The sequence below is a fragment of the Homo sapiens genome, chromosome 6 (assembly GCF_000001405.40).
Source record: "Homo sapiens chromosome 6, GRCh38.p14 Primary Assembly".
Taxonomy (NCBI): Eukaryota; Metazoa; Chordata; class Mammalia; order Primates; family Hominidae; genus Homo; species Homo sapiens.
The window spans coordinates 28,090,730-28,115,644 of NC_000006.12; the positions used below are offsets into that span (position 1 = coordinate 28,090,730).

The 24,915-nt window shown below is 40.8% G+C and overlaps 2 pseudogenes across 1 annotated transcript, besides 2 other annotated features; one reads left to right on the top strand and one right to left on the bottom strand.

The window, feature by feature from the left end:
• The first annotated feature begins 77 nt into the window (after positions 1-77).
• ZSCAN12P1 (zinc finger and SCAN domain containing 12 pseudogene 1) lies at positions 78-4,986 on the top strand (annotated as a pseudogene). The gene is made up of 2 exons (NR_024063.2): positions 78-755; positions 1,610-4,986. The product of NR_024063.2 is annotated as a zinc finger and SCAN domain containing 12 pseudogene 1 (transcript).
• Positions 6,382-6,640, bottom strand: ZNF601P (zinc finger protein 601, pseudogene; annotated as a pseudogene).
• Positions 14,850-14,989: an enhancer, noted in NCBI's record as "active region_24343". NCBI's record gives its function as "activates an Ori minimal core promoter by ATAC-STARR-seq in GM12878 lymphoblastoid cells {active_cell/tissue: GM12878}" and the evidence as "EXISTENCE:reporter gene assay evidence [ECO:0000049][PMID:35858748]".
• Positions 18,448-18,648: a silencer, noted in NCBI's record as "peak5744 fragment used in MPRA reporter construct". NCBI's record gives its function as "represses an SCP1 promoter by STARR-seq MPRAs in K562 erythroleukemia cells {active_cell/tissue: K562}" and the evidence as "EXISTENCE:reporter gene assay evidence [ECO:0000049][PMID:32103011]".

The following is a 24,915-nucleotide window of genomic DNA, read 5'->3' on the forward strand; positions in this document are numbered from 1 at the left end:
TTTATAGATGAGAAAATTGAGCTGTAGTGAAGTTAACTATCTTGCTAAAGATCACATAGTAAGTGGTAGAACCAGGATTTTAACGCACATTTTATTCCAGGGCCCTAGTTCTTAATGCTTAAACTTGATTATGTCACTGAAAATATTCCTATGGGATATAACATCAGAAAAGATAGCGCTTGTACACCACAACTCTAAAGTTGGTGGCGGGGGAAACGGGGAGACCTAGCACCCTTCTAGAAGATTAATCCACCAACATTTCAAAATCTTGTAAGGAGCTGCGACCCGCTAGGACGGGAGCCTACTGCGCCCTCAAACCCCGCGGCGGCTCCCTCCCCGGAGGGGGCGCGTGAGGCCACCACCCAGAGCCTCTTCCTAGAGGAGCCGGAAGCATCGGGAGCCGCGGTACCCGCCCATCTTCCGGCCAGGATGTGTGGTCCTGGTGAGCGATTGTCCTGTGGCGTCCGGGACCGAGTTTGTGGCCCAGGGTTATGTGTGCACTTCACACCTCTGACTTTTTTCAGGGTTCCTATTGATGGTTAGGAGCAGGATTTCGGGGATGAAGGCGGCAGCAGCAAGAGGAGGCTGCGACTGCGGACCCCAGATTCGTCCCCCTCCACCACACACAACGCCAAGACGGGCCCCAGGAGGGCGTGAAGAGAAGACTTCCTTTCCTCTCCTCTCGCCTCCTGGCGCTGGCCGTATGAAGGTGTCTCCCAGAAGCATTAGCAGAGGAGCCCTGTGGGAGAAATGAGGTGTATAGTCACACTTAAATCTGTTTATGCTGTCATTGAACCTCTAAACACAATTGGATCATTTTCTAATGATCAGAAGTGTTATCTGTAGATGTATTTGTAGTGAGACACATTAGCATGCTTGCTTTGGTGTCTTAATTTTATAATATTTGTAGTCAAGCGTCACATTGTTTCTATTGTTAAACTTAAAAAAAGTTTACTCGCAAATGAGAAATGAAGATTATAACCTAGAATGCACAGAATGGCAAGCTACTAACGCATTCAACGAGGGAAGGGTAAAGGCAAGTTTTTATTAACAAAAAGAGAGGTTCACATAAGCTGCTTAGAGACCGTGTTCATTGGTTTCAGAGGCTCAAAGCTGGAGTTGTCAGTTCATTGGTGGAGATGCCATAATTATGCAAGTGTTCTTTCCAGAACATCGTGTCTGAATTACAGCAGTGCTATAAAGAATGTCTACTGATAAACCTTGTCAAAGCAGGAGATGCATGGAGGAAATGAAATGGTTTCTTATGCGGTGTTTAGAAAGTCCTTGGAAACAGTTCTTATCTCAAACATGTAAGCATGAACCTCCTCTCCTTCATGCCATCCCCGCCGTATTTTATCTGGGTCTGACAAAAGTGATTTCATCCTCGTATCTGAAATTTTCAAATCATATTATAAATTGTATGTCTGTCTTACCTAGTTTGTGCTTTCTGTCGCACATGATAAAATTCACCCGAATTGTTCATTTTCCTTTTGAATTGGTGGTTTGAATCAATGAATTTCAAGATAACTAGACGTCTTTAATCTTAAAAAAAAAAGTTCTTAGCAACCTTTTCATTTCTGCGAGTTAGTAATGATTTATTTTGCCTTAGGAGTGACCCAAAAGAAACTTGCTCAAGGACAGCCTCCTTAAAGCAGACTTCCATATACCCCAACCTGCAAAAGAAGACTTTACGTGAAATGTTACAGCCCATAACAGCTGCAGCCTTGACTATTAAATCTCAAAGGGAATAAAAAAGTCGCCTGACAGTTAAAGCAGAGGACTACACTTGGGGCCAAGAATATGGGCTACTTCATATGGAAGAACTCCAGCAACCGGGAGGTAGCTCATCAGAACGTTAGGCATTTCTGCTACCAGGAGACACCTGGACCCTGTAAGGCTGTGAGCTGATTCTGGGAACTTTGCCATCAGTGGCTGAGGCCAGAGACCCACACCAAAGAACAGATCCTGGAATTGCTGGTGCTGGAGCAGTTCTTGACTATCCTGCCAGAGGAGCTCCAAGCCCGGATGTTAGAGCATCAGCCGGAGAACAGAGAGGAAATGGTGATCATATCGGAGGATTTGGAAAGAGAGCTTGATGAAACAGAATATCGGGTGTGATTAAAAGGCACATGAACACCCTAGCCAGAGAAAGAAGCAGCCATACATCCAGGGAAGCAAGGTTGCAGAGCTCAATCTCCACTCCCTCCCGCTTGATATGTAAGTCTCTATGTTTCGTACTCTCATCCTTTCTGGTTAGCTCCTTACTTCTTAAGGGTGGAAGAAGACTGTGTCAGCATTCTTTCTCTATTCTATGCCCTGAGATGTGTTCTCTAAGATGTCTTTTAAAGATAGTAACTGTGGTTCCATCATTGAGTCTTTCACAAGCCCAGCCATATCTAATTGTTCCCAAGTTGCAGCCAGTGCATATGGAATGGGACTGCACTCAGAATATCATCATCAAGCAGCACAGGAGCCACCAACTATTCCTTTCCAGCCAATGAAAAGACAGCTTAAATGGGAATATCCAGAATTCCAGGCCATTCATGAGCAAGGTGAGCATCACAGTCCATCTCGAGAGAAAGGGAGTGGTTGAAAGCTCTGCCAGCTACCCAGGCTGAACAGCATCAGGAGCATCTCAGACATAATCCACCATGCTGAATCAGATGGAAGGTCCATCTCCTGAAGTACTACATTCCAGCTTATGTGGCACCAACAAGACCTGATGCAGAATGGCGTAATGCTGTCCTCCCTCATATCAGCCTCAGCAGGAAGTTGTACACCAGCTTCCGTAATTTCCTTTAAAAAGCTATTCTAGGCCACTGTCATTAAAAAAATACCTTTACTTTTTTGTAATATTTTCATAATATATAATTTCATAGCCCAACCTCTACTACACACTTAGTGCTTTCTCTGTAAAGTAGAATTTACTTTTTTGTCTTAAAATTACCTTTTCTGAATCCCCTGGATCACCTAAATCCATTTTGTACCCTCTTTTCTGTTCCCTTTTAATAGAAGCTACATCATTGACCTGATGTTTTAGACTCATCTAAACATTTTTATTCTTTAGTCCCTGTTGTCTTTAATTCAAACATTACACATAATTCTAAAATATCCCTTAGGTCAGTCATCTTCAGTATTACTTCCTCATTGGACCCATTACTTCCAGCTTCAGTATGCTTGAATTTGTCCTGACTCTCAATAGAAACAAATTATTTTTCTCTTACCTGTCACTTTCCGCATGCTATCTTCAGACCTTCCACTCACTTTCATCCTCCTCTACTTTTAACACTCATTTTTACTCCCATTGCTCAACACAACTCTCTTCTTGATTGTTCCTTTATTCTGTCTCTTCCTTTGCTCAGTGGTATGGACTGAATGTTTGTGGTCCCACCAACAACCCCTAAACAATTTATACATTGAAGCCCTAACCTCCCATGAGTTGGTATTATAGATGGGGCCTTTGAGAGGTAATTAGTTCTTGAGGGCAGGGCCCTGTATGATAGGATTAATGCCCTTTTAAAAGCAGTCACCAGAGAGCTTGATATTTCTCCTATGTGCCCGTGAAGGTAAGGTCTTGTGAGCACAACAGCAAAAAGGTGATCATCTGAAAGCCAGAAGGAGAGCCCTCACCAGAAACCAACCATGTTAGTACCCTGATCTCAACCTCCAGAACTGTGAGAAAATAAATTTCTCTTATTTAAACCACCAGTATAGTATTTTGTTATGGCAGCCCAACTTAACACCACTTCATGTCCCAATTCTGTGGCAATAATGTGCATGAGAGGTCTCCTTCCATTTACCAGCTATCTTATTCCTTGCCTACAAGGAATATATTCTTACAGATATCACAAACAGGGAAGACAGTTATCTGCATGGGACATAGCTTGCTTGCTTAAAGAAAAGGACAGAAGTTTAGTACTAGTGAAGAACCATTTACATTTTCTAAGGGCCATTTTTTCACAGAAAACCATTGTGGGCTCCCAAAAGTACAAGTAACCCAATTTAGTATTTTATTCAAAGTGAAACATACACTTAGGAATAGAATTCATGAAAAATTTTACAAATATAAGATGCATACTCCATTCACAGTGGCTATATCCTAGAAAATCCCTAAGTATTACTCTGTACTATATTTTTTTCCTTAATTTGGGGAAACTTTAGTTACTGAGATTATACCCTTGAGATACGGAGATCTTTATGATTCAAGACGCAGACTTAACTAGCCTAGTTTTCCTTTTCTTTATTCTGGCTCCGCATCTTCCAAATGAGTCTAGTTGGAAACTCTTACCCCTTAGTTTCCTCCCAGTCAGCACCAGTTTAGGGGAGTTAAGGAATTATTTTTCATTTCCAGCTCTGGCTCTAAATAATGTGTCTCCAGCAGTGAAATGTAGGCCAAGATAGCTCTCTGATATGTAGCTCCTATAAAGGAACCCACTTCTCAGAAGCATTGGAAAAGGCAAATTATGAAGGTTCATAATACAATATAATAAAAATTCTTTAGTCATCCACTATTACAGATACTAAGCCAAATTTTAAATTCATACTGTATAACAAATTTGAATTTAGAAATAATTCCTCTTTATTCTTTTCATTTCAACCCAAGGTTACTTACTGATATAGTTCAGATATGTGTCTCCACTCAAATCTCATGTTGAATTGTAATCCCCAATATTGGAGATAGGGCCTGGTGGGAGGTGACTGGATCATGGAAGTGGATCCTTCATGAATGGTTTAGCACCACCTTCTTGGTACTGTTCTCCTGATACTGAATTCTTGTGTGATCTCGTTGTTTACAAGTGTGTGGCATCTCTCCCTTCTCTCTCTTGCTCTTGCTCCTGCCATGTAAGAATCCTGCTCTCCCTCTGCCTTCTGCCATAATTGTAAGTTTTCTGAGGCCTCCTCAGAAGCCAAGCAGATACCAGCATCATGCTTCCTGTACAGCCTACAGAACCATGAGCCAAGTAAACCTCTTTTCTTTATAAATTACCCAGTCTCAAGTATTTCTTTATAGAAATGTGAGAATGAACTAATACACTAACTCTCAAACATAACTTTTTATGTATCCACATCATTTCCTAAAATTTTGTAGAAATCTTAAAATATTATATTTTAATCCCATCTTTCCCATCTGAAAGCACTGACATTCCACATTTTTTCAAGAAAAAATATTTGGTTAGAAACACCGTCAAGTTTGTCTTCTGAGTGTGTACATTTTATAAAGAAAATAAAAAACCTTTTATAATATAAACCCTGGGAAAAGATTTTGGTCCATAGCCTAGAAACACATTTGTAATATGTTGCTTAAGTGAAATTCATGACATTTTAGCATGTATTTTATTCTTGTTTACTTCTTTACTGATATGTCATACACTCTTTTTGTTCTAACATTTTGATTTGGCAGAGCCAATACCCACCTATACTACAACTTTCTTATGCCAGCACAAGAATGCTATATTCAAAATGCTTTCCATGTATTACCTTCTTTTATCCTCAGATATCCTTGGCAGATAGTAGGGCAGATATTACCCTCATCTTATTGAAGAATATTCTGGGTATAAGGAAGTCAAATAACTTGTCAACAGTTACAAGGTTATGAGGTAAAGAAGCAATAATCTCCAAAGCTACAGCTATTCATACAAAGACAATACATAAACCCTTACATTATAAGTGTCTAGTGCACTGCAAAGAAGACTTATGAGTGTTTAGCTAGAAGACTGAAGGAATTCAGGAAATGCCACTCCAAAATATGCCAATTTGGTATATGGGTTAATTCTAGCCAAAGGCACTTGAAAAACAACAAATGTAAGGAGAAGCTTTCTCTGAACTCCCCCTATCTGCCTAAAGACAGATCCTCTAAAAGGAGCTCAGTTGTCATCAATCCCCTCCCTGGGAATTTCATCAACCGGGGAAGATTAACTCTATCACAGGAGAAGAGGCTAGAAGTTGACACCACACCTAGACAAACTTCTTCAAAAACTATTATCTCTTCTTCTGAGGACCCAATAATCTTTCCCAAAAATTATTTCTCCCCTAAATTGCCTATATCTCACCTCCTCTCCCCTGTGAAGTAGAGATGTAAACTCCTGAATCTCACTGGTTGTTTAGGTGTATGCTTTCTTTTCTGTACTGCCCTCATGCACATAATAAAATTGTATATCTTTTCTCATGTTAATCTGCCTGTTGTCAGCTTCTGTCATAGACTCAGTTATCAAATCCTCAGAGGGTAGAGGGAAAGTCTTTTCACCTTACAAGATATTTTGAAGGATCACCTCCATATGAGGACCATCAAGTCAGGAAGAATGTGCCATGTAAGAAGGAAATGACCTTGGAGCTTTCTTTGTGCTCCTTCTGATAGCATCCTTTCCCAAAATGCATTATCCATTGAGAAAGGCCTGAATTCTTAGCAAAATTGGCCCCTATATTTATTCCATTATTAGGGTTTCTTATCTACATGGAAGTTTGATGCCTTATCAGAGCTGAGCTCACCTGAAAACTTCTCTTACATTCATTGCATTCATAGTTTCTCGACTGTGTGAAGTCTCTGGTACTGAATAAGCCCGGCACTTTCATTTAAAGCTTTCCCACATTAAGCTTTCCCACATTCTTTACATTTATAGGACCTCACTTCGACGTAGATTTTCAGGATGAGAGTGTTGAGTAATTACACTTACTAGAATGATAAAGTTTCTCCCAAGAATGAGTTATCTGATACCCAGTTAAGTTGGAAACACTAAATAAAGATTTTCCCATTCACTATAATTATAAGATTTTCCCACTCACTATAATTATAAGTTCCAGGCAAAATTATCCCCACAATTACCACTCGTATGTTTAAAGGCTTCTCTGCAATTGTCCTCCTTGTCAGGTTCCCCATTGAGTCTGCTAGATCTGCACGCCTGGCCTCAAAGATGTGTGACCTATGCAGTCACACAGGCCACAGGGCCCAGTATTCACAAGGGTACTATGTTTAGAGGGCCCTGAGCACAGTTTAGTGCTATGTTGTCACAGTCTTGAAACTCTTAATTTTACCTTTGAACTTGTGTTTTGTAAGTGAGGTAAGCAGAAAAATAGAGCATGCACATGAGCAGAGGCTCTCCATGCAATACGTGTTATCTGTGGTTTCTTGCTGCTCCATTCATGTATGACATTTGTGATCCTCCATGAGCATGGAATTCTGGTGGGTCAACAATGCATCGCAGTTCAGCGAGACTGAAAATGAGTACGAGGAAAGTATTTGAGTAAGCTGGGACACTGACACCCTGGAGAGATCATGCTTTCTGCTGGAACCAGAACTTGCTTTTAAGTCAGAAATCTGTCAATGGCAGGGTCTGAAAAACTGGAGTAGGCCGGGTGTGGTGGCTCACGCCTGTAATCCCAGCATTTTGGGAGGCCGACGGGGCAGATCACGAGGTCAGGAGATCGAGACCATCCTGGCTAACACGGTGAAACCCCATCTCTACTAAAAATACAAACAAATTAGCGGGGTGTGGTGGCGGGCGCCTGTAGTCCCAGCTACGCAGGAGGCTGAGGCAGGAGAATGGTGTGAACCCAGGAGGCGGAGCTTGCAGTGAGCTGAGATCGCGCCACTGCACTCCAGCCTGGGCAACAGAGGGAGACTCCATCTCAAAAAAACAAAAAACATAAAAATAAAATAATAATTTTTTAAAAAGCTATAAAAGTCTTTGTCTCTATTTTTATGTATTCCTGTATACCTATCTGTTTGTATATTATCTACATGGTACCAACTTGACTTATAAATAACTGAGCACTCATAAATTAATAAGCCCAAATTTTTTCAGGTTCATGGGACTTTAGTAACCTTCAGTAAATAAAACTAGTTTTAACGTTGTTGGTAAATTTTCTTTTGTGCTGGTATCTCTAGGAAAAACATTGTTGGTAAAGTAAAAATGTCTTCAGAATTATCAGTATTAAATATAATTCAGACGTTTTGCTTGGGTCTGCTGGTCAGACAGGTTTAGGCTTATCTCTACTAGATGTTTTAAGTCATAAAACTGTTCATTCTGTGATATTCTTCAATACTTGCTCAATTTGTCTGTGAGCATCTGTCTTAGAGCCATTAAATTCTGGGATCTAGACAGGTGGCCATGATAAGGCCTGGGAATATATGTATGATGACAGCACTTGGGCCAATAGCTGCAGGGAAGTGCCAAACAAATATATTCTCCCTGGCCCAGCTGTATCTCCTGGACATGCTAGGAAGGGTTAGTTTCACCAGACAGTATCTTCACAAATCTATCTTTTGTCTTGGACTCTGCATCTGGTACATAACAATGAAAATTGCTTAAATTGCTTACTCGGGATCAGCACAATGGCTTACACCTGTAATCCCGGCACTTTGGGAGGCCAAGACAATAGGATCACTTGCTGGCCTGAGCCCCTACGGGGAGGGGTGGCTGAAGTCTCCACAGACCAGAAGATGTAGACTTTCCTCCTGCTAGTTCTGAAGAATCCAGGCAGACCAAACAAGTGGGCTTCCCCACAGAGAAGCTCACCCCCTCCACCAAGAGACAGTCAAAGTGCTTCGTTTAATGGGTCCTGTTCCCTGTGCCACCCAACTGGGTAAGACCCTGCAAGAGGGGTAGTCAGACACCCTATACAGGAGTGTTCCTATTGGTATCAGTTCGGTGCTCCTTGAGGTCAGAGATCCCAGAGGAAGGAGCAGACACCTATCTTGTGCTCTCCAGCCTCCTTGAGTAACATCTCACCCTCTGTGGGCTGCACCCACTGTCTAACCAGACCCAATGAGATGAACCAGGTACCTCAGTTGGAAAGGCAGAAATCACTCACCTTCTCTGTTGGTCTCACTGTGAGCTGCAGTGAACCAGGCGAATAGGGCCTGAAGTGAACCCCCAGCAAACTGCAGCAGCCCTACAGAACAGGGACCTGACCATTGCAAGAAAAACAAATAGAAAGCAACAACAACAGCATCAACAACAAAAAGAAAACTCCCCACAAAATCCCATCCAAGGGTCAGCAGCCTCAAAGGTCGATACTAGACAAATTCATGAGGATGAGAAAGAATCAATGAAAAAATGCTGAAAACCCAAAAGGCCAGAGTGCCTCTTCTCTTCCAAATGATTGCAGTGCCTCTCCAGTAAGGGCACAGAACTGGACAGAGGATGAGATGGACAAATTGACAGAAGTTGGCTTCAGAAGGTGGCTAATAACAAACTCTGCTGAGCTAAAGGAGCATGTTCTAACCCAATGCAAAGAAGGTAAGAACATGATAAAAATATACAGGTGCTGCTAACTGGAATAACCAATTTAGACGGAAACATAAATGACCTGACGGAGCTCACAGCATGAGAAGTTTGTGAAGCATACGCAAGTATCAATAGCCAAATCAACAAGCAGAAGAAAGGATATCAAAGTTTGAAGACTCTCTTGCTGAAATAAGGCATGCAGACAAGATTAGAGAAAAATAATGAAAAGGAATGAACAAAACCTCCGAGAAATATGGGACTATGTAAAAAGATCAAACCTACGATTGATTGGAGTATCTGAAAATGATAGGAAGATTGGAACCAAGTTGGAAAACACACTTCAGGATATCATCCAGGAGAACTTCCCCAACCTAGCAAGACAGGCCAACATTCAAATTCAGGAAATACAGAGGACACCACTAAGATACCTGACGAGAAGATCAACCCCAAGACACAAAATCATCAGATTCTCCAAGGTAGAAATAAAGGAAAAAAATGTTAAGGGCAGCCAGAGAGAAAGGCCAGGTCATCTACAAAGGGAAGCTCATCACACTAACAGCAGACCTCATTCAGGAGAAAGTTGTTCAATTTCCATGAGTTGTGTGGTTTTGAGTGGGTTTCTTAATCCTGAGTTCTAATTTGATTGCACTGTGGTCTGAGAGACTGTTATTATTTCAGTTCTTTTGCATTTGCTAAAGAGTGTTTTTCTTCCAATTATGTGGTCGATTTTAGAATAAGTGCCATGTGGCACTAAGAAGAATGTATATTCTGTCAATTTGGGGTAGAGAGTTCTGTAGATGTCTCTTAGGTCCACTTGATCCAGAGCTGAGTTCAAGTCCCAAACATCCCTAATTAACATCGATGCAAAAGTCCTCAATAAAATACTGGCAAGCCAGATCCAACAGCACATCAAAAAGGTTATCCACTCTGATCAAGTTGGCTTCATCTCTAGGATGCAAGGCTGGTTCAACATATGTAAATCAATAAACATAATCCTTCACATAAACAGAACCAATGACAAAAAGCACATGATCATCTCAATAGATGCAGAAAAGTCCTTTGATAAAATTCATCTCTTCATGTTAAAAACTCTCAATAAACTAGGTATTGATGGAATATATCGCAAATAATAAGAGCTATTTATGACAAACTCACAGCCAATATCATACTAAATGGTCAAAATCTGGAAGCATTCACTTTGAAAACTGGCACAAAACAAAGATGCCCTCTCCCACCACTCCTATTCAACATAGTATTGGAAGTTCTGACCAGAGCAATCAGGCAAGAGAAAGAAATAAATGGTATTCAAATAAAAAGAGAGGAAGTCAAATTGCCTCTGTTTGCAGATTGACATGATTGTATATTTAGAAAACCCCATCATCTCAGCCCCAAAACTCCTTAAGCAGATAAGCAACTTCAGCAAAGTCTCAAGACACAAAATCAATGTGCAAAAATCACAAGCATTCCTATACACCAATAATAGACAGAGAGCCAAATCATGAATGAATTCCCATTCACAATTGCTAAAAGTAGAATAAAATACCTAGGAAAACAGCTGACAAGGGATGTGAAGGACCTCTTCAAGGAGAACTATAAACCACTGCTCAAGAAAATAAGAGAGGACACAAAGAAATGAAAAAAAAAATTTCCTCCTCATAGATAGAAAGAATCAATATGTGAAAATGGCCATACTGCCCAAAGTGATTTATAGATTCAATGATATTCCCATCAAACTACCACTGACATTCTTCACAGAATTAGAAAAAACTACTTTAAATTTAATATGGAAACACAAAAGAGCCCATATAACCAAGAAAATCCTAAGCAAAAAGAACAAAGCTGGAGGTATCATGCCTACCTGACTTCAAACTATATACTACAAGGCTACAGTAACCAAAACAACATGGTACTGGTACCAAAACAGACATATAGACCAATGGAACAACACAGAGACCTCAGAAACAACACCACACATCTACAGCCATCTGATCTTTGACAAACCTGACAAAAACAAGCAATGGGGAAAGGATTCCCTATTCAATAAATGGTGCTGGGAAAACTGGCTAGCCATATGCAGAAAACTGAAACTGGGCCCCTTCCTTACACCTTGTACAAAAATTAACTCAAGATGGATTAAAGACTTAAGTGTAAAACCCAAAACCATAAAAACACTAGAAGAAAACCTAGGCAATACCATTCAGGACATAGGCATGAGCAAAGACTTCATGATGAAAACTCCAAAAGCAATTGCAACGAAAGCCAAAATTGACAAATGGGATCTAATTAAACTAAAGAGCTTCTGCACAGCAAAAGAAACTATCATCAGCGTGAACAGGCAACGTACAGAATGGGAGAAAATGTCTGCAATCTACCCATCTGACAGAGGTCTAATATCCAGAATCTACAAGGAAGTTAAACAAATGTACAAGGAAAAAACAACCCCATCAAAAAGTGGGCGAAGGATATGAACAGACACTTCTCAAAAGAAGACATTTATGTGGCCAACAAACATAAGACAAAAAGGTTCAACATCACTAATCATTAGAGAAATGCAAATCAAAACCACAATGAGATAGCATTTCATGCCAGTCAAAATGGCGATTATTAAAAAGTCAAGAAACAACAGATGCTGGCGAGGCTGTAGAGAAATAGGAACGCTTTTTACACGTGGGAAGGTAAATTAGTTCAACTGCTGTGGAAGACAGTGTGGTGATTCTTCAAATATCCAGAACCAGAAATACTTATTGACCCAGCAATCCCATTACTGGGTATATACCCAAAGGAATATAAATCATTCTACTATAAGGACACATGCACACATCTGTCTATTGCAACACTATTTACAATAGCAAAGACATGGAACCAACCCAAATGCTCATCAATGATAGACTGGATAAAGAAAATGTGGCACATAGATACAGTGGAATACTATGCAGCCATGAAAAGAAATGAGATCATGTCCTTTATGCAGGGACATGGATGAAGCTGGAAGCCATCATCTTCAGCAAACTAACACAGGAACAGAAAAACAAATACTGCATGTTCTCACTCAGAAGTGGGAGTTGAACAATGAGAACACATGGACACAGAGGAGAGCATTACACATGGGGGCTTGTCAGGGGATGGGGGCAAGGGGAGGGATAGCATTTGGACAAATAGCTAATGCATGCGGGCCTAAAACCTAGATGACGAGTTGATAGGTGCCGCAAACCACCGTGACACACACACATCTTTGTAACAAACCTACATGTTCTGCACTTGTATCCCGGAATTTAAAGTAAAATTTTTTAAAAAATGGTTGCTTTAAAGTGAAAGGATTAAAAAGAATAATAAACTGAGTGGATGCAGGAATTTGGGGAAAGAGAATAGGAAAAATTGTAAAAGGTTATACAAAGTTTGTGGAAATCTTATCTTGCATGGTCAAAGCTGATGAGAATAGATGGATCTGTTTATAAGGTATTATTAAAATTAGGTTTAATATTAACAATGCACTGATACAAAGTAGAATTTTATTTTCTTGCTTGAACAATATAGTATTAATAAGAGATATAAGACTAGTGTTCATCTTTTGAATAAACTGTTAAAAATTTAAAAAGGAGAGAGAGAGACAGATTCTTGTTTGAAAAACTGAATCTCCTCTCTTTCAAAGAGTAAAGGTTTACGCTTTTTGAAATATTTCAATTATCACTTTGGCTAAATAAATGATTATTATGACCTGTGATCTTAGTTTTGATATCAAAGGTTTTAAGACTTTGATATTTGACATAATTCCCAAAATCAAATTTCAAATTCTAAAATTAAGTATTTTCTATAAGGAATGCCTGATAGTCCAAGAGAGACATATTAGGCTTATTTGGTTAAAATCACACAGGAAACACTGTCAAATAAGAAATGGCATTTAACTTTTGTTGATTAGAAGATGTGGGAAAAGGCAAAAAAAAAAAAAACCCAAAACTTTCAGTCACATTTGTATAAATGTGTTATTAACATGTGTTCCGAAATTGTATATTCCTAAATTCTGATGTGTCTTGGTATATGTTATCAGTCATAATTATGATTATGGCAAATTTTGTAGGCTACAGAAATAACCAGATTTTCTTGTTAATTGTGTGTTTAACCATGGCTACTCTAAGCCTTTTGCCATCCACAGACAATTATTGTCTTACTTTACTTCTCAAAAAGTGATTTACAATTCGCTACAGTCTAAAATTTTATTTTCCTTAAAGGAAATTCATGGAAAGGACACTGCCAAGTACTCTTGAATGCAGGTTTCTGATAACTTTGGAAATCACACCACTGGACTAGCTAAAAACTTCCAGAACTCTTAAAAAAAAAAAAACTGATGGATTCATGAAGATTACTAACCCAACATCAAGCAGAACAAGAATTAATAACATGGGCCTAACCTAATAGAGGACTGCATTTATCTTTTATGACTTTTTGTTTGAAACAATTCTGATTCTTTCTACATTTGTTTTCCAGAGTCAAGAAAAAATTCATTTTTATTTTGAGCCATTTATGGTTACAGTGATTGGGAAAAGTGTACTTTTGTGAGAAAACTGAAACTCCAGGTCGGTGGACAGAAATGAAGTCTGGGGAGGTTCCCGCCTGCCGACCTGAGCGGGGAGGACTGACGGACTCAACGCTGCGAAGCTGGAACTCAAACCCTTTCTTTCGGATGAGACAAGTTGTGAAACAAAACCCCATGCCCAAGTGACCCCATTTGGAGACTCCGCGGCGCGCACTGGGGACCCCACACGCTGCACACCTCTCTGAAGCCGCTGGAAGCTGGGGCGCAAGGCCGGAAGGGGTTCGCAGACGCACTTCCGCCAGCGGCCAGGCAGGGCGCAGAGGAGCTAGTTAGAGCTGGGCTGGAGCTGCCACCCAGCCCAGGTAGTAAGACTGGCAGGAAGAGAGCAGGACGCCGCCGCCCGAGTCCCCCAGCTCAGCCAGGTGCGGGCGGGAGGAGCCCCGTCCTTGCTTAGCCCCGCGCTGGAAGCGCCGTCCGAGACACTGCACGGGGCAGACTGGTGGGTGTCCCGGCCCTGGCACCGCGGGGTTGCCCTAGCCAACCGGAGCCCAGCTCCCCCACGCGGGCCGGACGTTTCCCCAGACGTTGCGAAGTCCGACTCTGGTTCACAGATGCCGACCTGGTCGGTCTATGCGGACCACCCTTTTCTCCAACGTGACCGCCGACTATTGGAAGTTTTTTGTGATCTGTCAGGCCCTGATGGCTTAAGGAACATAGCCAGATCTTCCCGAGTCCGAGGCTCGTTATGGTTGTCCACTGATGATCTGCCATTTCGTTTATGTTACAGAATAAACAGGGAAAGTGTTTGTAGTCTGGTTGGTTAACACTGTATTTTGCCTTATTCTTTCAAAGATCTAAACTAGTGGAAGGCAACCTGTAGAACCCGCTTCCATGTCCTTTATCTTGAATGATTCCTGAAACAGCCTTTCTCCAAACCTGCTCCAGAAGTCCCTGAATTAATCCTTAGAGCCCAGGAAGTGAAGATGTCTTTCAAAGATGCCGATTGGGTAACAGAAGCTAAGCACAGAGAAGGCAGTAGAGGGCCTTATTGCGTGGTCCTAAGTTGTGTGCCAAAAAACAGAGAAGTGTCCCTGAGCACCAGGTGTGGTCTCCCCTGCCAGCCCCTCGATGACCAGGTCATAAAGATAACTGCAATCCTTTACTGAGGTCTTACTAAGTGCTAGGCACTGAGTCTAATGCTTTCCAGGCACTGCATCTAATGCTTTTTGTAATTTTTCTTAAAAAAAAAACCCTATATTATCAGGTCTGTGGTTTAATCACATTGTACCAATACTATTTTTTGGCCTTGCAATTGTGCTATGGTTATGTAAGATTTTAATATAATAGGAAGCTGGGTGAAGGATATAGGGACTGTTCTATACCTTTTTGGAAATTTTCTGTAAGTTTAAAATTAGTTCAAAATAAAAAGTTACAAACAAAATTAGAAGCTTGTTTTTAACGGCAGAAAAGGAATAAAAATTTAGAGATTAAGCCACTACACATAAGAGAATGTGACAACATTCGAGCCCAGGGCTTTTGGAATCCTCAGCCCATGCCCTTCACCACTGCCCACCATGTTAATCCTGGGTAACAGATAGGCCCTGCCTAAATCAGTTACGCACACAGCCCCCTACCTATGTTAACATAATTTTACTATTCAACTGTCTTTGCTAATGTGATACTACTATTCCACTGTCTTTATCAACATGACTTTACTATTCCAGGACATTATTGCTGTAGGAGATAAAAATTGCAAATAATTATTTTTGTTTCAAGAACTTCCCCCTCAAAAAATCTATTTAAATGAACATCAAATTCTTCAACTTTCAATAATTAGTATCCAGACTTTTTGAAACCCTCACCTCAAAACCTTCATCTTAATGAATGTGTCCATCAATCTTAAATTATTGTATCACCATCCTTGCCCAGTCCTAATTCTGCTTTGAAAGATCAGCATCACACCATCACTGGCCATCAGAGAAATGCAAATCAAAACCACAATGAGATACCATCTCACACCAGTTAGAATGGCAATCATTAAAAAGTCAGGAAACAACAGGTGCTGGAGAGGATGTGGAGAAATAGGAACACTTTTACACTGTTGGTGGGACTGTAAACTAGTTCAACCATTGTGGAAGTCAGTGTGGCGATTCCTCAGGGATCTAGAACTAGAAATACCATTTGACCCAGTGATCCCATTACTGGGTATATACCCAAAGGACTATAAATCATGCTGCTGTAAAGACACATGCACACATATGTTTATTGCGGCATTATTCACAATAGCAAAGACTTGGAACCAACCCAAATGTCCAACAATGATAGACTGGATTAAGAAAATGTGGCACATATACACCATGGAATACTATGCAGCTATAAAAATGATGAGTTCATGTCCTTTGTAGGGACATGGATGAAATTGGAAATCATCATTTTCAGTAAACTATCGCAAGAACAAAAAACCAAACACTGCATGTTCTCACTCATAGGTGGGAATTGAACAATGAGAACACATGGACACAGGAAGGGGAACATCACACTCTGGGGACTGTTGTGGGGTGGGGGGAGGGGGAAGGGACAACATTGGGAGCTATACCTAATGCTAGATGACAAGTTAGTGGGTGCAGCGCACCAGCATCGCACATGTATACATATGTAACTACCCTGCACATTGTGCACATGTACCCTAAAACTTAAAGTATAATAATAATAAATTAAATAAAAAATAAAAAAAAGAAAGATCAGCATCAAACCTTTCAAATCTTGTAAATATCCTGACTTTGCCTTCCTCCCTCAGAGATGCTACTAGGACTCTGTCAAGGTAGTGCTTTTTATCACCCACAAGAATAAACTTCATTTTGCCTTACCAACATTGTTTTGTTGTTATTTTTGGGAAAAAGCATCCAACAATTTTCTCAGGACTGTCAAAACTGCTGTTTCTTGACAAACATTCCTTCTATTTGAGAAAAGGTTTGAACTGTTTTATACTTTTATTTTTTGAACTATAGTTTCTGTTACCTTAGGAGTGTGCTTTAACATAACACTTACAGCAGCAATCCTCTTAGCCCATTGGAGCTAGAATGCCCACTGTGTCCCTTCCATGGGCTCCTGAAGAGACAAAGCAGCTCTTTGAAACAAACAACAAATAAAGCCTTGCCATGAAGCAGGGATCCAGCCCAAAAAGGAGTAGCCCAAACAAACAGTAGTTATTCGGCCAGCGTTTCTGACAGTTCTGATACAAGGAGACTCCTGGGCCCTGTGAGGCCTTGAGCCAGCTCTGGAAGCTCTGCTGTGAGTGGTTAAGGCCTGAGATTCACACCAAGGAGCAGATGTTAGACTTGCTGTTGCTTGAGCTGTTCCTGGCCATTCTGCCCGAGGAGCTCCTGGCCTGGATGCATGAGTATCATCCAAAGAATGGAGAGGAGGCAGTGGTTTTGCTGGAGGTAAGAAAGGGTCCTATACACTTGGGTAGAACAGCCTGGAGAGGGTGTCCAAGCTGGTCCTTTGTGGGATCTCTGGGGATCATGTACACTGTCGCCCCTTCAGATGCCCAAATGAGCCTGCTTGTCCTCAGGTTTCAGCCCAGGCCCATGTGCAGGAAGTGCTTTCTTTTTTTTCTTTTTTTTTGAGACAGAGTCTCACTTTGTCGCCCAGGCTGGAGTGCGGTGGTGCGATCTTGGCTCACTGCAACCTCCGCCTCCCAGGTTCAAGCAATTCTCCTGCCTCAGCCTCCCAAGTAGCTGGGACTACAGGCGTATGCCACCATGCCCAGCTAATTTTTTTGTACTTTTAGTAGAGAGGGGGTTTCGCCATGTTGGTCAGTATGGTCTCGAACTCCTGACCTCAAATGATCCACCTGCCTCGGCCTCCCAAAGTGCTGGGATTACAGGCGTGAGCCACTGCGCCTGGCCAGGAAGTGCTTTCTGAGACTTCAGTGCCTCTCAATCCTTCTGTGGAGACTCAGCTTAAAAGTGACTCTCAGGACTCTCAACAGCAAAAGGATTGTGATTAGTGTTGACACTTGTGTCATATGGCTCCCTTGGAGACCTTAGAATCATCCATCATTTGGCAAATATATATTACTTTTTATGTGCTAGGTACTGTTCAAGGCTCTAGGAATAGTGAACAAAGCAGAAATGATCTTTGCTTTCATGGAGACAATCTTATGACAGAGGTACTAAACACGCAAATAAATATACTGTGACAGATTGTATATGGAGAGAGAGTGTAGTCAGGAAGGTCTCTTTGAGGAAGTAATATGGGAGCTGAATCTTAAAAGTGATGTAGAAATTAGCTAAGTGAATAATAGAGAGGAAAGCATTCCAGACCACAACAGCATGTGCAAAAACTGGAGTGGGAAAGAAATTGGTGGGTTTGAGGAATTGAAAGAAAACCAGTGTGACTGGAGCGTGGACACAGAGACCTAGAGAAGAGGTGGTCAGGGGCCTGGACATGAGAGCTTTGTGGCTCCTGTTAAGAAGTCAGAAAATGTCAGCTACTCAGGAGGCTGAGGCAGGAAGATCGCTTGAGTCCAAGTGTCTGAGACCAACCTGGGCAACATAGCGAGACTCCAGTCCCCCCACCAATACGTCAGTAAATATTTAGCTTTCACAGTGTGTAAAACCTAGCTTTGGTGTCTATGAGGGTCCCTGCCCTAAAGGAGTTGGGTACCAATAAAAAGATTGCCTCATTTGAGGCAGTGAACGATTGCCAAATCAGAGATAACAGTTCTGAGAAGGGAGAAATCTGTCTTTTCAGGCCCTCATGGTGGTGTTAGTGGAATGATTGGAATTTGAACTGGATCATAAAGAACTGGTAACATTTCACTGGGCAGACAGCATCAGGAATGATGTACCTCATACTTACCCCTCTTCTAGCTCTCTGTCCCTCTATTATCTTCTTCCATCACATTAAGACTTGTAGTCATTCATCCCTTTTTTCCTCTCAATGTTTCTTTCCTTCCCTGCCCCATCAGACCCATGGTACATTTCAGTTTTTTGCAAATATGGCCAACATTTTTCCACCCCGCTGCCACATACTCACATGAACACACACACCTCCACCTTGTTGAACTAGTATTGTAAAATACCACCTCTGACCAAACCTTCTCCCTTGTTCTGCCAACCCAATTCATAGCTATTCTTCAAGATTCAACTCAGCTGTCACCTTCTTTAGGAAGCCTTTCTTGATACCCTCCCACATGTTTGAGTTATATGATGCACCTTGTGCATATTTCTGTCATAGCATTAGCATACTATATTACTGCTTCACTTGTCTGAAGTTCCTGTTTATCCCCCACAACTGATATGTAGAAAATGCTCAGTAAAGGTGAATGATGAGGTCTGAGCAGAGGAATAATGTGGAAAAGTACAAATAATGATAAGAGGATGGGAGTGTATCAGCTTGGCTGAGACTGAGTAGCCAATAGAGGAAGAATGCTAACAAGGTGGTCTGGAACAAAACTGTAGAGAGCCTATTTTTATTTTCTTCTTTTCTTGAGATGGGGGTTTGGTTTGGCTGTGCGTCCCCACCCAAATCTCATCTCGAATTGTAATCCCGTGTGTCCAGGGAGAAACCTGGTGGGAGATGACTGGATCATGGGGGCAGTTTCCCCCATGCTGTTCTCGTGATAGTGAGGGAGTTCTCATGAGATCTGATGGTTTTAAAAAAGTAGCAGTTTTCCTTGCGCACTTTCTCTTTCCTGCCACCTTGTGAAGAAGGTACTTGCTTCTCCTTAACCTTCCACCATGATTGTAAGTTTCCTGAGGCATTCCCAGGCATGCAGAACTGGGTCAATTAAGCCTCTTTTGTTTGTAAATTACCCAGTCTCAGGATCTTTATAGCAGTGTGAAGATGGACTATATATACAAGCAGGAACTAACACGTGCCCTGTAAACTAGATATAAGCTGGATTGCAGAGGGAGGAGAAAAAGGACCACTTTGAAGACTATTGCTATAGTTCCAACTCAACATTATGAGGGCCAACAGTAGGGCAGTTTCAGGAGGTGGATGGAGAGGGAGAGAGAGATGTAGCTAGATCGCTTGTCCTAAAGCTCCAGAGGGTACTGGAAAGAGGACAGAATGGCTCTTTTTAACACATCTCCTGGCTTCAGTAAGGATCCAGGGTATCAGGGTTGGAATCTTCCTAAGTCTGATGGGTGGAAATGATGCTCACTTTCCCAAAAGAAAATGAAAAACATCATTTTTGGAAATAGTGTCATCTAAAAAATATGAGCTATGTTTTCTTCATTATGGTCTTCTTTGTTATACCTAGGGAGGACTTTTAATGACTATAGGATACGTCTTACCTATAGGGGTATGTTTGTTCATTCATTTTGAAATGCATGTTTTCCAAATTTTCTAGTAATAGCATTATTAGAAAATAAGGTGTTCCGCATGCTAGGGTTTCCCTAAATAGCTGAGGCTTGCCATTTGTTGGTCAAACTTTATTATTTAATGGGCAACTTACTGAGATGTATAACATATTCTTGGAGTAGGGTGAACACAAATGATCCTTTTCATGAAGATTTAAATTAATTATAATTAATTTAATTAATAAAACTATTGTTCATAATTTAGAAATTAATATTTATAAATTATGGACACTAGTGCTCACTCTGGCCTGCAAATCACTGCTGCCCTTAGAGGCTCTAGGTAGGTAGGTCTATCAGATTTATCCTAAAATGGTAGCAGACTGCCATATTAATAGATAGCAGGTGTAGAATTTAAATAGTCTGTCTCCAGAGCCCATGTTCTTAACTCCATAGTAGAGATGGAATGTAAAAATGTGAGAGAGGTGAAGAGTTAGGAAAATGAAATTGGAAAGGTAAGCAGGGGCAGTCTCACATCAGAGTGATGTGATTGTGCATCTGGATGACTTTAAAAATTTATCAGTGGCGGGCCTCACCCTCAGAAACTGGATTTTCTTTAGACAAGAGTGGGGCCCAGGCATGGGCTTGCTTTTTTTTCTTAACTCTCCAGGTGTAGCTAGGGTCGAGAATCCCAGTTCTAGGATCATGAAGGGCTTGTATGCTCAACAGATGAGTTCTTTAATAGTAAATTAAATTGTTTTGATAATTTTTATCAATTTCTGAGGTCACCATTCTTGTATACTAACACCTTTCCTCTGGGTTCACTCTTGTTGAAGTCTATCCTTTAAAACTTACTTTAGTGAGGTTCTTTGGGTGGTGGACTGAGCTTTTGCCATGTTTGAAAGTTCTCTTATTTTGCCCTTCCTTTGAAATAATGACTTAGCTGGGATAAAATTCTAAATTGACTTTTTTTCCCTTAGCCTTTTGAAGATACTATTAATACTTCACTGTCTTCTAGCTTCTATTGTTTGCTGGCAAAAAGCTACTGGCAGTCTAAATGCCTTTAAAAAAAGATTCAATTTTTTCTCTTTAGTAGCTTTTTAAATTTACTCTTAACTTTTATGCTCTGAGTTTCACTAAGTATGTCCAATACGTTTTATTTTTGTTCATCTCGCTTGGCCTATAAATGCACTTTTGCTCTAATACCCATGTTTTTCTTCAATCTGGGGAATTCTCAGCTATGAGTTCCTTAAATAAGCATCTTTTTAATTCCTTATATTATTGTCTGCTGGAGCTTCCAACATGTACTCATTAGAACCACTTATCAATCATCCATTCTACTTAACTGCTTTTTCATATGTTTTATGTCTTTGTCTCTCTACGGTACATCCTAGTGGATTCTTCTTCTACTATCTTCCAGTTTATTCTCCCTTTCGCTGTCTTCAGCTTATCCATTTCATTGAAGATTTTATTTCAAAAATGATTATTTCTAAAATTTCTATTTAGTTTTCATAGCAATTATCCTTGTTCTGCTTGTTTCATAATTGTATGTTTATTTGCCATGGATGGTATGTTATCATTTGTCTTCTTTTCCCATATCTTTAATCTATTAATTTCATCAGGCTGTTTGATGAAAGTAATTTCATGTGGATTGAATTCATGTTCCAGTTGGTCATTTTGTAACCATCTTTCTTAGCATTCAATTCATTTGTTTTGAAATTTCTATTTCTAGGTTCATTTTGAGTTCTGGTCTATTTACCTTCTACTCTTCTTTGTTTACCAATTCTGTTGTACCTTTACCTGCACCTCCTCCCCCAGAACCAGGTTTTATACAGTGATATTTTAGGACTACTGTTCCATGTGATATCACAAATATCATCAATGTAGTCACAGGTTTACAGATGGCTTCACATGGTTCTTGGTCACAGGGTTCTATCTTGCTCTGTGCATTTTAAGGTACTTGTGTATGTGGGTGCCTGTGTGTTCCACCTAGCCTTTGGCACCAGGCAGTATGATGGTGCCAGTCCCCCCTCTCATGGAGCACTTGTAGTTCTCCAGGTTCCCCTGGTGACAAGACTTCAGTCACTGTGTAAGACCAGGAGCCCAGCAGGCCCAGAGCTTCAGCTATAGCCACCATTCTGTGTTTTTGCTTCCTTTCTGGTCCACAGAAATGTTTATCTTGTTGGGTTTTTTCTTTTTCTTTTTTTTTTTTTTTTTAAGCACAGATGTGTTTACAGATTTTTATCTATTACTTTTTGTATTTGGAGATGAAGTATGAACTCACTGTGCCATCTTGACTGGAAATACACCATTTTCCTCAACCTCTTTTATTCAGTTACAAATTGAGTTTCTATGTTGTGCTTCTTTTTTATAATAATCCATATATTTTCTTCTGATGCTAATATGGATTTTAGTTATTATATCTGTAGTAGTCTTTTGGATGCCATCTATGATAGCCACTTTTTTTATCTGCTAATGGTTCTAAAAGACTATGTTCTTTTATAAATGTGTATCTGTGCAATTTGCTTTCAGATTCTGCACACAGATATAGTTCAGGTAGCTCTACGGTTTGAACCTGTCCCCCAGAGTTCACATGCTGGAAACTCAATCCCCAGTGCAACAGTGTTGAGAAGTGGGATATTTAAGAGGTGACTAGGTTATGAGGGCTCTGCCCTCATGAAAAGATTAATGTCTTTATTGTGGGAGTGGGTTAGTTATCATGGGAGTAGGTTCCTAATAAAAGGATGAGTTTGGTGCGTTTTTCCCCCCGACCCCTTTCCCCTTTTCTTTCTCTCTCTTCCCCTCCACCTTCTGCCATAGAATGACATTGCAGGAAGGCCCTCACCAGATGTCAGCAACTTGATCTTGGACCTTCAAGCCTCCAGAAGTCAGGAAATAAATTTCTGTTCTTTATAAATTACCTCGTCTATGTATACTGTTATAGCAGCACAAAATGGACCAAGACAGGTAGCTGTAACATAAAGTTTTAAAGCACCCAAAGACTTTAAGATAACCTTAAATAACCACTAACAGTGAGAGGGTTTTAAGCAGTGTGACAAGCTGGTATGGTGAGATTATTGCAGGCTCTGGTGTAAAACAAGTCCCCAAGAGAAGGTTGATCTCACTCTTGGCAATGTGCTTTCTCAGTTCTGCCTCATCCCTGTGTTCCTGCCCTTCACAGAAGTTCCAAGACCCAGATGAGAGTCATTTTTCTCAAGACAGGTTGCTTAGTGAACTTTATTCCTCATCCACATTCTCGAAGATTTGAATTCACTGTCTCACCGTGGCTCCTTTTCTTCTTCGTCCGAGTCTCTTTAGTCAACACATTTTAGCACAATGAATCCCTTTGCCTCTGCCTAGAGTTAGCTGTGACTTGTCCGTGTCCTAGTGCTTCAACTGTCTTCATGATTTGTCTTTTTTTTTTTCCATTTAATGTTCCTTATCCACTCAAAACACTGCTTTTCTCTGTGTTCTTCCTATGTAGTTACAAATTCTCCCCTTTACTCTGGGTCCTAAAAATGGGATTAAGTTCAGGCAAATATGCCTTGGGTATGAAAATCTCATGTTTTCAAAAACTATAGATTACTGAGGATATGGCCACATCTCCTGCCCTGGAGAAATGACGGTATTGAGATCCTGCTCAGAGGAACCTCTCCAGGAAAGACAGGCAGAGGAATTATAGGAACATGGATCCCCTGGGTAAAGACAGATGCAAGTTGAGGGTCTGTTAAAGAACCTCCTCTCTCTTAGTGACTGTTAGCCTGGGAAGTCTGAAATGACCCACAGAATGCAGCTTGAAGCTTGACAGATCCCCAGTGTTCTCTACAAAAACAGTAGTGAGGTCTTTAGGGACCAAAGCAATTTCTGTTCTATCCCCGTGATAACATCTTGTTTTGTCTAAGGTGTCTAATCTCTTTGTTCTGCACATGGGAAATGGGATACTTCCCTGTGCTCTGATTCCCTGATTTTTTCGGTATTCCCAGAGGCCTTCAGGGCAACCTGCACAGAACAATTTCATGGCACTCATGGGGTACCTGCCACCGTTGACTTCCTTTCTCTCTTTTTATTTTTCTCTACTCAACTTTGGGCCTTTCCTGGTGAACATATTCTTATCTTAGATCTCTTCTGTTGTTTACTTTGCTTCCTCATTGGATCATGATTATCATTCCTCCCTATTTTTCTCCATTCTTTTCTTCAATCATGCCTTCGAAGTTCAGTCCATCCTGTCTTCCATTACCATCCCTCAATTTCCTCCTCAAATGTTTTAAAACCATTTTGTTGGTATGTTTGAGCCATCTACTTCTAGTATATGTATTTTAGTTCCTGTATACCCCAGTGACATTTGAATGCTCTACTTTTTATTTCAGATTATGTTATCAGAATCAATAAAATAGAACTGATTCAAGGGCAGGAACTTACTGTAGATATGGAATCCCAAGAAAAGTTACCTGGAAAATCAATGAAAGGCTTCTGAATGAGAAGAAACCCAAGAACATGAAAGATGGACAGAAATATATCAGAGAGCCGAGTGCAGTGGCTCACACTTAGAATCCCACCACTCCAGGTGGAGATGGGCGGATCACCTGAGGTCAGGAGTTTGAGACCAGACTAGCCAACATGGTGAAACCCCGTCTCTACTAAAAATACAAAAATTAGCCAGGTGTGGTGGTGTAAGCCTGTAATCCCAGCTACTTGGGAGGCTGAGAGGAGAATCCCTTGAACCTGGGAGCCTCAGGTTGCACTGAGCCAAGATCACGTCACTGCACTCCAGCCTGGGCGACAGAGCGAGACTCCGTCTTATACAAACAAACAAACAAAAAACAAAGAAATATATCAGAGAAACACAATC